The sequence below is a fragment of the Homo sapiens genome, chromosome 7 (genome assembly GCF_000001405.40).
Source record: "Homo sapiens chromosome 7, GRCh38.p14 Primary Assembly".
NCBI classification, from domain to species: Eukaryota; Metazoa; Chordata; class Mammalia; order Primates; family Hominidae; genus Homo; species Homo sapiens.
In genome coordinates this window covers 55947891-55962106 of record NC_000007.14, presented here as the reverse complement: position 1 = coordinate 55962106, position 14216 = coordinate 55947891, and the positions used below count along the sequence as shown (strand labels likewise).

Here is a 14216-nt window from a genome sequence, read left to right as displayed (position 1 = left end):
GGAACTGGGGAGGGACCTGTGCTCTAGGGGATAAATTGTTGAAACTGCACTGGGTGTGCCTGCCCATCACACATCCGATCTTGCAAAACCATTATTAAAAAGTCTTACTTTTGTCCGGGTGCGGTGGCTCATGCCTATAATCCCAGCATTTTGGGGGGCTGAGGCTGGTGGATCACCTGAGGTCAGGAGTTCAAGACCAGCCTGGCCAACATGGTGAAACCCCATCTCTACTAAAAATACAAAAATTAGCCGGGTGTGGTGGCGCATGCCTGTAATCCTAGCTACTCGGGAGGCTGAGGCAGGAAAATCACTTGAACCTGGGAGATGGAGATTCACCTGGGAGGTGATCTCAGCTCAGCAATGAGCTGAGATCGCACTGCTGCACTCCAGCCTCAGTGACAGATCAAGACAGACTCTCAAAAAAAAAAAAAAGTCTCACTTTCACTGTTCTTCATGCCTCTAAGTCCATTCTTTGGGTTTGAATGGGTGAGTGTGTTTCTCACACTCCAAAGAGAGGCAGAAGTGAGCTCTCTCCAGGGTATCAAGGACTTGGCCCAGCCCTACAGAGCAGGAGGCCAGGCCTCTTTAAGGGTGGATGAGCTCCTGTGACTGTCACAAATGCCCCCAATTTCTCAGCTCTGTTTCATGAGACACCTGCTTTTAAATTTATTCTGAAATATAAACTGTAGCTAGACACTTCTTTGCTGACCTTGCTTTTGTGTTTAGTATTAGCCTGCTTAGCCTGCATTGCTTTTCTCCACTATCATTTTGTTGTGGAGTTCCATTCACTCAGGACTTTTTACTGGGGAAAAAGAGGGTACTCTGATTTCACAGCTGTGTGGCTTCAGATATTTGAAGCCATAGAATAAACATAGCAAGTCTTCCTGGAGCATAAGTTTTATACAAAGACTCTCAGGAAAAAGTATGTGTTAAAATATAAACAAGTATCATTTATATGTTAACATTTCAGTGGTACTTAGGTATAATTTATATTTTAATACTTCGATGGTACTTAAGTATCATTTCTATTTTAATACTTGAATGATACTTAGGTATCACTTATATTTTAATGCTTCAATGGTACTTAGGTATCATTCATATTTTAATACTTCAATGGTACTTATACATCATTTATATTTTATTTTATTTTTTATTTTTTTGAGATGGAGTCTCACTCTTGTCACCCAGACTGGAGTGCAGTGGCACGATCTTGGCTGACTGCAACCTCCGCCTCCCAGGTTCAAGCGATTCTCCTTGAGAATCTGCCTCAGTCTCCTGAGTAGCTGGGATTACATGTGTGCACCACCACGCCCCGGCTAACTTTTGTATTTTTAGTAGAAATGGGGTTTCACCGTGTTGGTCAGGCTGGTCTCCAACTCCTGATCTCATGATCCGCCTGCCTCAGCCTCCCAAAGTGCTGGGATTACAGGCGTGAGCCACCACGCCTGGCCATCATCATTTATATTTTAATCCTTTGATGGTACTTAGGTACTATTTATATTTTCACATGCTTTTAATTTTATATTTATACTTTAATACTTCATTGGTACTTAAGCATCATTTATATTTTAACATATTTATAAATGATGCTTATTTATAAATGTTTAAATATTTAAACCTTTAAAATATTTTAGAGACGGCTTGGACTCCATCCCAGAGCTGGTGACACATGTGTCACCATATGCTAGGAGCACCACTTGGAGACGTCTGATGCTTTATTTTTAATTTTTTTTTTAATTTTAAGTTCTGGGATACATGTGTAGAACATGCAGGTTTGTTACATAGGTATACATGTGCCATGGTGGTTTGCTGCACCTATCAACCCATCATCTATGTTTTAAGCCCCATATGCATTAGGTATTTGTCCTAATGGTCTCCCTTCCCTTGCCCCAACAGGCCCCGGTGTGTGATGTTCCTCGCCCTGTGTCGATGTGTTCTCATTGTTCAACTCCCACTTGAGTGAGAACATGCAGTGTTTGGTTTTCTGTTCCTGTGTTAGTTTGCTGAGAATGATGGTTTCCAGCTTCATCCATGTCCCTGTAAAGGACATGAACTCATTCTTTTTAATGGCTGCATAGTATTCCATGGTGTATATGTGTCACATTTTCTTTATCCAGTCTATCATTGATGGGCATTTGGGTTGGTTCCAGGTCTTTGCTATTGTAAGTAGCGCTGCAATAAACATATGTGTGCATGTGTATTTATAGTAGAATGATTTATAATCCTTTGAGTACATACCCAGTAATGGGATTGCTGGATCAAATGGTATTTCTGGTTCTAGATTCTTGAGGAATCGCCACACTGTCTTCCACAATGGTTGAACTAAGGTGATCTTTTTTTTTAAGCTGCTTATTAGTGATATGTACTCTCAAAGCAAAAACAGCCAAGCATGTTATTTTCACAGATATCAGACTACACAAGTGTGTTTTCAAAATCTCTGGTTACTCCTTGGGTTTCTAACCCTTCCCCTCAACTGTGTAGATGGTATTCTGGTGTTTTCTTGAACTTTCTATCACAGAGAAAAAGCCAGGGTCAGTCTGATTTTCATTCAGTTCTAAGTACTTTTCTCAGATCCTGGAATGGTTTGAAGTTTTCCAGCATTTCAATACATATTTTGCCAGGATATGTCTATGTGAGGATCTCTTTTTATAGAACATGATTTTTCTAAAGGTCAAGAAAAAATGTTTTCTATTTCTTTTTTTCATTAGTTTGTTGTTTTTGTTCTACTCTATTCTGAAAAATGTATTATATTTATATTGGAGTTTTAAAATTCAGTCTCACAGAACTATCATTCTCGTTACTTTCATTTCTTTATCCTTTTCCTCTACATTCTTAGAGAACTTCTGAAGCGTATTCTTACTATCACTGATTTGACTTTTCTTTTCTTTTTTTTTTTGAGACAGAGTCTCGCTCTGTTGCCCCGGCTGGAGTGCAGCGGGGTGATCTTGGCTCACTGCAACCTCCGCTTCCCAGGTTCAAGCGATTCTCCTGCCTTAGTCTCCTGAGTAGCTGGGATTACAGGCGCGCGCCCTCATACCCGGCTAATTTTTGTATTTTTAGTAGAGACGGGGTTTCACCATTTTGGCCAGGCTGGTCTCGAACTCCTGACCTCGTGATCTGCCCACCTCGGCCTCCCAGAGTGCTGGGATTACAGGCGTGAGCCACCGCACCCGGCTGATTTGACTTTTCTACGATATCAGTCTTGCCTCACTTCCATGTGGATATTTAAATGCTTTTTGATTTCTTGCAAATCTTATGGCACATATGATGGTTCCCTCCCTGTGTCCACGTGTGTGATGTTCCCCTCCCTGTGTCCATGTGTTCTCATTGTTCAACTCCCACTTATGAGAATATGTGGTGTTTGGTTTTCTGTTCCTGTGTTAGTTTGCTGAGAATTATGGCCAGCTTCATCCATGTCCCTGCAAAGGTCATGAACTCATTCTTTTTTTTTTTTTTTTTTTTTGAGACGGAGTCTCACTCTGTCGCCCAGGCTGGAGTGCAGTTGCACAATCTCCACTCACTTCAAGCTCCGCCTCCCAGGTTCACGCCATTCTCCTGCCTCAGCCTCCTGAGTAGCTGGGACTACAGGCGCCCGCCACCACACCAGGCTAATTTTTTTTTTTTTTTTTGTATTTTTAGTAGAGACAGGGTTTCACCGTGTTAGCCAGGATGGTCTCCATCTCCTGACCTCATCATCCACCCACCTCGGCCTCCCAAAGTGCTGGGATTACAGGCGTGAGCCACCACGCCTGGCCTTATTTTTTATTTTTTTTGAGACGGAGTTTCACTCTTGTTGCCCAGGCTGGAGTGCAATGCTCACTGCAACCTTCGCCTCCCAGGTTCAAGCGATTCTCCTGCCTCAGCCTCCAGAGTAGCTGGGATTACAGGCACCTGCCATCACGCCCGGCTAATTTTTGTATTTTTAGTAGAGACGGGATTTCACCATGTTGGTCAGGCTGGTCTCTAACTCCTGACCTTATGATCTGCTCGCCTTGGCCTCCCAAAGTGCTGGGACTACAGGCATGAGCCACTGCACCCAGCCGAACTCATTCTTTTTTGTGGGAGATGCCTGATACTTTCATGTACCCTTCCAGGCTAAGCAGTCCCACAGCCCCACCTGCCAGAGACCTGGACAGTCTAAGATGCTTCCGTTTCCTTCACCTACCCTGGCACCAGTTCTGCCTTGGAACCTGTTATTCAGTCCCTCACTGCTGTTACTCAGTCCTTCCCTGCACAACTCAGTTTGGGTCTTAGGACCAGTCTTTGAACTGTGGTCTCCCCACCTCTATCTAACATGTCCGCTTCCAGTCTGTTCTCTACAATCACGCAATCACTTTTATTAAAATGCAAATGCAATTGTGTCACTCTTTAAAACGTTCAGCCACTATCACTTATAGTTACTTTCACCTATTTCTGAGTTCCACCACTGCTGAAAATGTTGCAGCAATCCTCATCTGCTTCCGGAAGCCCTGGTTATACTTTCATTCACTTTGTGGATTTTACATTCCCTTTCCTCTGCCTCAAATGCCCTTTCCACCCCATCATCTACTGTCCTGGAGACTCTTGCTTCAATGCTTACTTCTAGCACCATCTCATCTCTCCTGAGAAGTGACCTTCAATTCACCCTCACCCATATCCTGTTTGCCATGGAGGCACCTGTGCATACCTCCCCAACTAGATTGATCCCTGAGGCCGGCAAGGCCTGTGATCATCCTGGAAACCCTGTGCTTACACAATACATGTATCAAGGCTGGGCACGGTGGCTCAACGCTGTAATCCCAGCACTTTGTCAGGCTGAGGCGGATGGGATCACCTGAGGTCAGGAGTTCAAGACCAGGCTGTCCAACATGGTGAAACTCAGTCTCTACTAAAAATACAAAAAATAATAATAAAATTAAAAAAAATTAGCTGGACATGGTGGCAGGCAGCTGTAATCCCAGCTACTTGGGAGCCAGGAGAATTGCTTGAACCCAGGAGGCAGAGGTTGCAGTGAGCTGAGATCACACCATTGTGCTCCAGCCTGGGCAACAGAGCGAGACTCCATCTCAAAACAAACAAACAAACAAATATGTATCAGCTATGATTGAAATATTCCCCTTTTGGCCAGTCGCAGTGGCTCACGCCTGTAATCCCAGCACTTTGGGAGGCTGAGGTGGGCAAATCACCTGAGATCAAGCGTTCGAGACCAGCCTGGCCAACATGGTGAAATCTCGTCTCTACTAAAAATACAAAAAAAAATTAGCTGGGCGTGGTGGTACACTCCTGTAGCCCCAGCTACTCGAGGAGGCTGAGGCAGAATTGCTTGAACCCAGGAGGCGGAGGCTGCAGTGAGCCAAGATTGTGCCACTGCACTCCAACCTGGGCAACAGAGGGAGATTCGATCTCAAAAAAAAAGTCCCCTATTCTCTTTCTAGGGGCCAGAAAACGGAAATATACTGCTCAATGCTTCCTTAAGTCAAAATCTAAATTATCGTGGTATATTAATGAATAGCAACAAAACTCACTCTCCATCCCAAATGCATGTGGGAGAAGTCCTACAACTTAATGTGTCAGATTTTAGGAACTTACACCTATTTAATCTAGCCTAGGATGTAAGAAAAGTGGCACAGAATTGTAAAATTTTATTTTCCACACATCAATATTCTTATTAACACAGCTTGATTGAAAGAATTCTGACCAGTGGCTGGTCATTACATGCAGTGGCTCATGCCTGTAATCCAAGCACTTTGAGAGGCCCAGGCGGGCGGATCACCTGAGGTCCGGAGTTCAAGACTAGCCTGACAAACATGGAGAAACCCCATCCCTACTAAAAATACAAAATTAGCTGGGCGTGGTGGCACATGCCTGTAATCCTAGCTACTCAGGAGGCTGAAGCAGAATCACTTGAACCTGGGAGGCGGAGGTCGTGGTGGGCTGAGATCATGCCATTGCACTCCAGCCTGGGCAACAAGAGTGAAACTCCAGCTCAAAAAAAAAAAAGACTTTCTTCCTTCAAAATAAAGGTTCTAAGATAAATTCAAAATTCCTTTGAATGAAATAAAGGAAACCGGCTGGGCACAGTGGCTCAGGCCTGTAATCCCAGCACTGTTAGGCCAAGATGGGCAGATTGCTCCCAGGAGTCCGAGACCAACCTGGGCAACACAGGGAGACCCTGTCTCTACAAAATTTACAAAAAATCAGCCAAGTGTAGTGGTACGCTCCTGTGTTCCCAGCTACTCAGAAGGCTGGGGTGGAAAGATGCTAGAGCCAGGGAGGTCAAGGCTGCAGTGAGCCAAGATCATACCACTGCACTCCAGCCCCCACAACAAAGCAAAACCCTGTCTCAAAAGACAAAAATAAAACCTTCTAAAACAGTGAGCTTGCTAAGCACAGTGGCTCACGCCTGTAATCCCAGCACTCTGAGAGGCCAAGGCAGGCAGATCACGAGGTCAGGAGATCAAGACCATCCTGGCTAACACGGTGAAACCCCGTCTCTACTAAAAATACCAAAAAAAAAAAAAAAAAAATTAGCTGGGCATGGTGGCAGGCGCCTGTAGTCCCAGCTACTCGGGAGGCTGAGGCAGGAGAACGGCGTGAACCCGGGAGGCGGAGCTTGCAGTGAGCCAAGATTGCACCACTGCACTCCAGCCTGGGTGACAGAGTGAGATTCCATCTCAAAACAAAAAACTGTGAGCTTACAAAATGCAACAGACTGCTAGGCACACTTAATGTAACGTGGAAGTATGTTCACTGAAATGATGAAAATTTGAAACACGACCATAAACCTTTGTGAAAAACCATAGTATGCCCTTTACTTCATTTGCTTTTAGCTATTTCATAAACACCACAGAGAAACTGGACACAGTTTGTGATGAAACTTAGAAAAATTTCTTTTTCCATAACATAAACATGTCAGTTTTTCCCTTTAGATCCTTCTTCCACTCCCGCTTCACTGTGCTGAAGAGATATTGAGTTCTTCCAGATTTTTGCTTAGCTGGGTGGTTTCCGAACTCAACGGACTCTCCAGGTAGGTAGTTCCAGCACAGGGCTTTCCTGTCACTGGATCTATGACTTTTCCAACTTTGAAAACGATCTCAGCCAGTTCATGTTTCACATGCTTTGCTCGTGGAACAGGTAAAGCTCTGAGAAGCACAATATCCCCAACTGTGCACTGCTGAAGGGCATCGTGAGCAAAGTAGGTTTTCCGCTTATTAAAATACTGTTGAGAGAGGGAGAGAAGCAAATCAGTAGTTCCCATCTGTGACCTGGTAATGTAATATGTAATATGAAAAAGTAACGTATGGAAAACAAGCCAGGACTTAGGAAAAGATAAGATACTAAGGAGGCTTCTAGTACAAAAATTAGAGCCTGAGTGATATAGTGAGACAATCCAGTGAGATGGATTCTCGCTCTGTTGCCCAGGCTGGAGTGCAATGGCACGATCTCAGCTCACTGCAACCTCCGCCTCCCAGATTCATGAGATTCTCCTGCCTCAGCCTCCCAAGTAGCTGGAATTACAGGTGCCTGCCACCATGCCCGGCTAATTTTTTGTATGTTTTTTTAGTAGAGATGGGGTTTCACCATGTTGGCCAGGCTGGTCCTGAACTCCTGACGTCAGGTGATCCACCTGCCTCGGCCTCCCAAAGTGCTGGGATTACAGGCATGAGCCACCGCGCCCAGCCTAGAATCACCTATTCTTTATAACAACCCTGTTGCAGCAGGTACATATGAGAAAAGTTCAGGGAGGTTAAGCCATGTGTGTAGCTGGTAAACAAGAGTCAGTATTCAAACTAAGGTCTCCCAAAGGTCAAGGATCATGCAGTCACTCTTCAGCTTGCTCCTGTGTTTCTAATCCTTGATAATGACCAGCATTGGTACCCACCTGTGTGCTGAACTTTGGATGTGAAACCATCCTTGGCACCTATCCGTCCCCTGGGCACAGCAAACAAATCAATGACTCTGTCCTTCCTGAAATATTTTTTCCACTCCATCCCCACTACATCAACTTTAGTTCAGGTCCTTATTTCCATCCTAGACTTTTGCAGCAGCCTCTTTGCCCATTCCCTTACCTCCAGTCTTCATCCCTACCCGTGTTTCCAAGCCTGTCTTTGGGTTCAAGCAGGGATCCCCAACCCCCAGGGCAGCAGACTGATACCATTCAGTGGCCTGTTAGGAACAGGGCCGCACAGCAGGAGGTGAGTGGCGTTGAGCCAGCATGAGTATTACCGCCTGCGCTCCACCTCCTGTCAGATCAGCAGCGGCATTAGATTCCTATAGGAGCACAAACCCTATTGTGAATTGTGCATGGTAGGCAGAGTTTTGCTCTTGTCCAGGATGGAGTGCAATGGTACAATTGTGGCTCATTGCAACCTCCGCCTCCCGGCTTCAAGAGATTCTCCTGCCTCAGCCTCCAGAGTAGCTAGGATTACAGGTGCGCACCACTATGCCCAGCTAATTTTTGTATTTTTAGTAGAGACGGGGTTTCACCACGTTGGCCAGACTGGTCTCGAACTCCTGATCTCAGGTGATCCAACCGCATCGGCCTCCCAAAGTGCTGGGATTACAGGTGTGAGCCACCTCATCCGGCCAGTACTTTGCATACAGAATGACTACAGCAGTTAGAGTGGATTGACATTAACTGTTTTCTTGGAATGTGTAAACCGTGTTATACCTACAGACCAGCAAAATGCCTGGCTCAAAGCAGATGAGAGACAAGACATCTTTACTGAGAGATAAATGTTTTTTTGCTTAGGACCCAGGACATGGTGGTGATTTACCAAAGCCACCCGGAAACAAGAATGTTTCTCACCTTTAATAAATAGGGATCCAGAACAAGCCTGGTCACTCTCACTTTAGCAGTCTTTTGCATTTTTGTCCCAATCACCTTCCCCACAATCCATCTGGCATGGACGGATGAGCGAACTACGGACATTACGTGGCTTTGGTCACCTGAAAAGCAAATTCCAAAGTCTCATATTCTGGTGGTTATGATGCCACATGAATTTTGTCACAAGAACTGTCCAGGTTAGTCCAGAAACAGTTTTTTTCTTTTTCGTTCCCCCCTCCACCCAGAAACAGTTTTGTTTTGTTTTTTTTTAGATGTAGTCTCTCTCTGTCGCCCAGGCTGGAGTGCGGTGGTGCGATCTTGGCTCACTGCAAACGCCGCCTCCTGGGTTCACGCCATTCTCCTGCCTCAGCCTCCCGAGCAGCTGGGACTACAGGCGCCCGCCACAACGCCCGGCTAATTTTTTTGTATTTTTAGTAGAGATGGAGTTTCACCGTGTTAGCCAGGATGGTCTTGATCTCCTGACCTCGTGATCCGCCCGCCTCGGCCTCCCAGAGTGCTAGGATTACAGGCGTGAGCCACCGCGCCCGGCCATATGTATTTTTCTTTAGATGAAGTTTAGTTCTTTCGCCCAGTCTGGAGTGAAGTGGCGCGATCTCGGCTCACTGCAACCTCCGCCTCCCGGGTTCAAGCGATTCTTCTCCCTCAGCCTCCCGAGTAGCCGGGACTACAGGCCCGCACCACCACGCCGAGCTAATTTTTGTATTTTTAGTAAAGACAGAGTTTCACCATGTTGGCCAGACTGGTCTCGAACTCCTGACCTCAGGTGATCCGCCCGCCTCAAGCCTCCCAAAGTGCTGGGATTAAGAGGCGTGAGCCACCGCGCCCGGCTTGAATCACCATTTCAGAGATGCTTACACGTTCCCCACTACCCAACCTCTCATCTTTACAGCGCTTACAAAGCGGTAACTTTAACTTCGCCAAGCCTCACGTTCCCCTTCTGCAAAATGGGCAGGCCTATTTCGCAGGAGTGCTTTGAGAATTTGACCCACAGAACGCTCAATACCACGGACAAACGCTGGACGTTACTGGTCCCTTATCTCTCTCCACCCCGCTGGGTCGCCTCTCCCCACAGGCTCAGTGCCCAGGTAGCACTCGGCGGGGCCGCCGCGGTGTCCCCCTCCCCGGCCCAGCGACGGATGACTTGGGCTGCTTTTGAGATCAGTTCACAAGCCATTCCACCAGGCTTCGGAAAGGTTGGGGTGATTCGTGCCCTCGCCCCAGACAACCCCGAGGTCAGACGAAGCGATTCGCTCTCAGGGCTCTCACGCGAGGGTGCCTTGGGTCCCCAGCAAATCCTCCCCCGGCAGCAATACCCCGGAGCCTGCCCTCACCTCCACCACGAGACTCACCTCCGCCAAGACTATGCAGCCACCTGCCCCGGGGAGCGCCGGTCGCAGCGGGATGGCGTCACGCCGTACGCATTGGCTCAGTCCCACACTACCCCTCTCGTAGGCCGTGCATCTCCTTAGCCGTGGGCGGAGTTAAAGGCAGGACCCCGCCCACTCTCCCTTAAAGGGACCCGCGGCGGTGGCGGGGTCGGGGGCGCTGACCTCTGGTTTCCTAACGCGCGCAGCTAGTGGACAGTGGCGCAGGAGGTTTCGGACTTTTCTTTCATTCTTTTGTTTTGTTTCTTTTTTTTTTTTTTTTTTTTGAGACGGAGTCTCGCTCTGTCGCCCAGGCTGGTGTGCAGTGGCGCGATCTCTGCTCACTGCAACCTCTGCCTCCCGGGTTCAAGCGATTCTTCTGCCTCAACCTCCCAAGTAGCTGGGATTACAGGCGTGCACCACCATGCCCAGCTAATTTTTGTATTTTTAGTAGAGACAGGGTTTCACATGTTGGCCAGGCTGGTCTCGAACTCCTGGCCTTAAGTGATCCAACCACTTTGGCCTTTCAAAGTGTTGGAATTACAGGCGTGAGCCACCGTGCCTGGCCTAAAAGTGTTTTTTTTTTTTTTTTTTTTGAGACAGGGTCTCACTCTTGTTGCCCAGGCTGGAGTGCAGTGGCATGATCTTGACTCACTGCAACCTCTGCCTCCTGGGTTTAAGGGATTCTCCTGCCTCAGCCTCCTGAGTAGCTGGGACTACAGGCATCTGGCACCACGTCCAGCTAATTTTTTTTATTTTTAGTAGAGACGGGATTTCACCATGTTGGCCAGGCTGTTCTTGAACTCTTGGCCTCAAGTGATCCACCTATTTCGGACTCCCAAAGTTCTGGGATTACAGGCATGAGCCACTGTGCCTGGCTGGTCCAGATTTACCTATACTTTCCCTGACCAGTTATTGTATCAGAAGTTTTTCAAACGAAAAATATCAGTGGGGAGTGGTACTTAGCAACAAAGCTCTGAGTGCTAGGTGAGCAACTTGCTACTGGGATTTTCCTGCCTGTAGGCTATTTCAGCAGATGTAGCTATCGATACATTGAAACATACACACACGCACACACACACCTACCTTTAAACAGCAGTGGGTTTCTTTCTTTTTTGGGACGGAGGCTGTCTCTGTCGCCCAGGCTGGAGTGCACTGGCGCGATCTCGGCTCACTGCAAGCTCCGCCTCCCGGGTTCACGCCATTCTCCTGCCTCAGCCTTCCGAGTAGCTGGGACTACAGGCGCCTGCCACCAGGCCGGCTAATTTTTTGTATTTTTTTTAGTGGAGACGGGGTTTCACCGTGTAAGCCAGGATGGTCTCGATCTCCTGACCTCGTGATCCGCCCGTCTCGGCTTCCCAAAGTGCTGGGATTACAGGCATGAGCCACCAGTGGGTTTCTTCTTTTGCTTCACCAGTTCCGTATTTTTATCTCCTTTCTTCCACAGTTAGAACTCTGGTCCCTACCCCGACAACATCAATGATTAATGCTAAATCCTATAGTATACACTATATGCTTTTGGAGTTGTACTAACAATATCCCGACTAAAAACAAACTTTCTAAGTGATGCGTGAGATTATTTTTTGTGGTTCTTTTTGTCCTTAGAGTGTACAATGACAGCACTGTGTTCAACATTTCTTGGGATTCTTTTTTTTTCTTCTGTGTGGTTGTAACAATATTCTATACAATTAGATTTTTTTTTTTTTTTCAGACGGAGTCTCGCTCACAATCTCGGCTCACTGCAAGCTCTGCCTCCTGGGTTTACGCCATTCTCCTGCCTCAGCATCCCGGGTGGCTGGGACTACAGGCACCCGCCACCACGCCCGGCTAATTTTTCTTGTATTTTTAGTAGAGATGGAGTTTCACCGCGTTAGCCAGGATGGTCTCCATCTTGTGACCTAATGATCCGCCCGCCTCGGCCTCCCAAAGTGTTGGGATTACAGGCGTGAGCCACCGTGCCTGGCCTTCATTTTTATATGTTTGTATACAATTTTGTATTCGAGGATAGGAAAAACCATATCCTTTTAATCTTATTTTTTGAATGTGTAAATCATTAAAATGGTTCAAAAATTAAAACTTTAAGGCTGGGCGCAGTGGCTCACGCCTATAATCCCAGCCCTTTGGGAGGCCGAGGCATGCGGATCACCTGAGGCCAGGAGTTCGAGATCAGCCTGTGGCAACATGGTGAAACTCCATCCCTACTAAAAATACAAAAATTAGCTGGGCATAGTGACACACGCCTGTAATCCCACCTACTCAGGAGGCTAAGGCAGGAGAATCGCTTGAACCTGGAAGGTGGAGGTTGCAGTGAGCGGAGATGGTGCCAGTGCACTCCAGCCTGGGTGAGGGAGTGAGACTCTGTCTCAAAAAAAAAAAAAAAAAAAAAAAAAAAAAGGGACGGGAAGGGAGGGGGGAAGGGAAGGGGAGGGGAGGGGAGGGGAGAAGGAAGGACTAAAACTTTAAAAAGATACAAGCAGAGAAATTTCATTCCATTCCCAATCTTTTTGATCTTGTTCTTGTTTCCCATAGGTAACTAATTTATTAGTTTCTGGTTTGGCCTGCTTATATTTCTTTTTGCAAAGATTGTATATATTCTCTTACAAAAGTAACATTCTATGTAGACTGCTTTGTATTTGCCCTTTTCACTTAACATATCCTGGAAGAATCGCTCCAAATCAGCTTCTGGAGTGTACTGAACATGCTGATCTTTCTTTTCAGTTGCACAGAACTTTACTATGTGAATGTACAATAGTCTTTTTTTTTTTTTTTTGAGACAGAGTCTCACTCTGTCACTGAGGCTGGAGTGCAGTGGGGTGATCTTCGCTCACTGCAACCTCTGCATCCTGGGTTCAGGTGATTCTCCTCCCTCAGCCTCCCGAGTAGCTGGGATCACAGGCACTCGTCACCATACCCGGCTAATTTTTGTATTGTTAGTAGAGACAGGGTTTCATCTTGTTGGCCAGGCTGCTCTTGAACTCCCGACCTCAAATGATCCACCTGCCCTGACCTCCCAAAGTGCTGGGATTACAGGCGTGAGCCACTGCACCCAGCCTTATTCATTATTGACCTAAAAATATATATTTTTTTCTTACTAGGTACGAGCATATGTACACACACACATATATATGTATGTGTATATAGATTTGTTCCTGTTTAATCAAGAAATAATAAACATTGGGGTGCTAGGCAAGCCAAGTAATCTTGGAAAAAGTTACTTCAACAAAGTAGAAAGATGGTCTAACAGTTAAAATAGTTACTTCAACAAAGTAGAAAGACGGTCTAACAGTTAATTGGCTCTAATGATTACATACAATAATAACCAAGGAGAAGCAGGATTCAACAGTGTGTTTCAAAATGATTAAGCAGCCAAATGTTCTACAATGAAAAGCTGACTACAAAAACTGCACTCTTCACGAAGAAGGAGCTGGATGGCCTTTTGATTATACAAATAAGGAATATAAAGGCTTTGGAATAATGCTAGCTAAAAAGATCATTATGTCCTGTCAAAAAAATGACCAGACAATGGCTAGATACTTTTGGGAAAGTTCAAGTCTCAAAAATTTAAAGTTTATACAAAAGGTCTTAAAATGTCCCACAACACTACAAGTGATATTTTGTTATAAAAGACCAAATAAGAGTTATTTCATTGATGCAAGGTCTTATGGATGACGTGACCAAGGATGAGGCATTGCTAATGCATATGCTACAATTTAGTTTGAGACAGTATTATTATTTTGGGTCTGGTAAGATTGGCAGGCGGATCACAAGGTCGGGAGTTGGAGACCAGCCTGGCCAATATGGTGAAACCTCATCTCTCTTAAAAATACAAAAAAAAAAAAAAAATAGCCGGGCGTGGTGGTGCATGCCTGTAATCCCAGCTACTAGGGAGACTGAAGCAGAAGAATTGCTTGAACCCAGGAGACGGAGATTGCAGTGAGCTGAGATCATGCCACTGCACTCCAGCCTGGACAACAGAGCAAGACTCTGTCTCAAAAAAAAAAAAAAAAAAAAAAGGTCGGGTGCAG

The 14216-nt window shown here is 46.0% G+C and overlaps 1 protein-coding gene across 1 annotated transcript, besides 1 other annotated feature; it reads right to left on the bottom strand.

The window, feature by feature from the left end:
• Positions 1–5606: 5606 nt before the first annotated feature.
• Positions 5607–10230, bottom strand: MRPS17 (mitochondrial ribosomal protein S17). The gene is made up of 3 exons (NM_015969.3): positions 10177–10230; positions 8789–8928; positions 5607–7198 (listed from the first exon to the last, which is right to left on the bottom strand). The coding sequence occupies exons 2-3, from the start codon at positions 8909–8911 to the stop codon at positions 6929–6931; spliced, it is 393 nt and encodes a 130-aa protein (NP_057053.1). The 5' UTR covers positions 8912–8928; positions 10177–10230; the 3' UTR covers positions 5607–6928.
• Positions 10118–10177: an enhancer, noted in NCBI's record as "active region_26043". NCBI's record gives its function as "activates an Ori minimal core promoter by ATAC-STARR-seq in GM12878 lymphoblastoid cells {active_cell/tissue: GM12878}" and the evidence as "EXISTENCE:reporter gene assay evidence [ECO:0000049][PMID:35858748]".

Excerpts from the sequence above, each read along its gene's own strand:
- MRPS17 (NM_015969.3), bottom strand. The coding sequence starts at position 8,911 with ATGTCCGTAGTTCGCTCATCCGTCCATGCCAGATGGATTGTGGGGAAG. Across the intron at positions 7,199-8,788 it reads TGGATCCCTATTTATTAAAG|TATTTTAATAAGCGGAAAAC; the intron begins GTGAGAAACATT and ends CTCTCTCAACAG.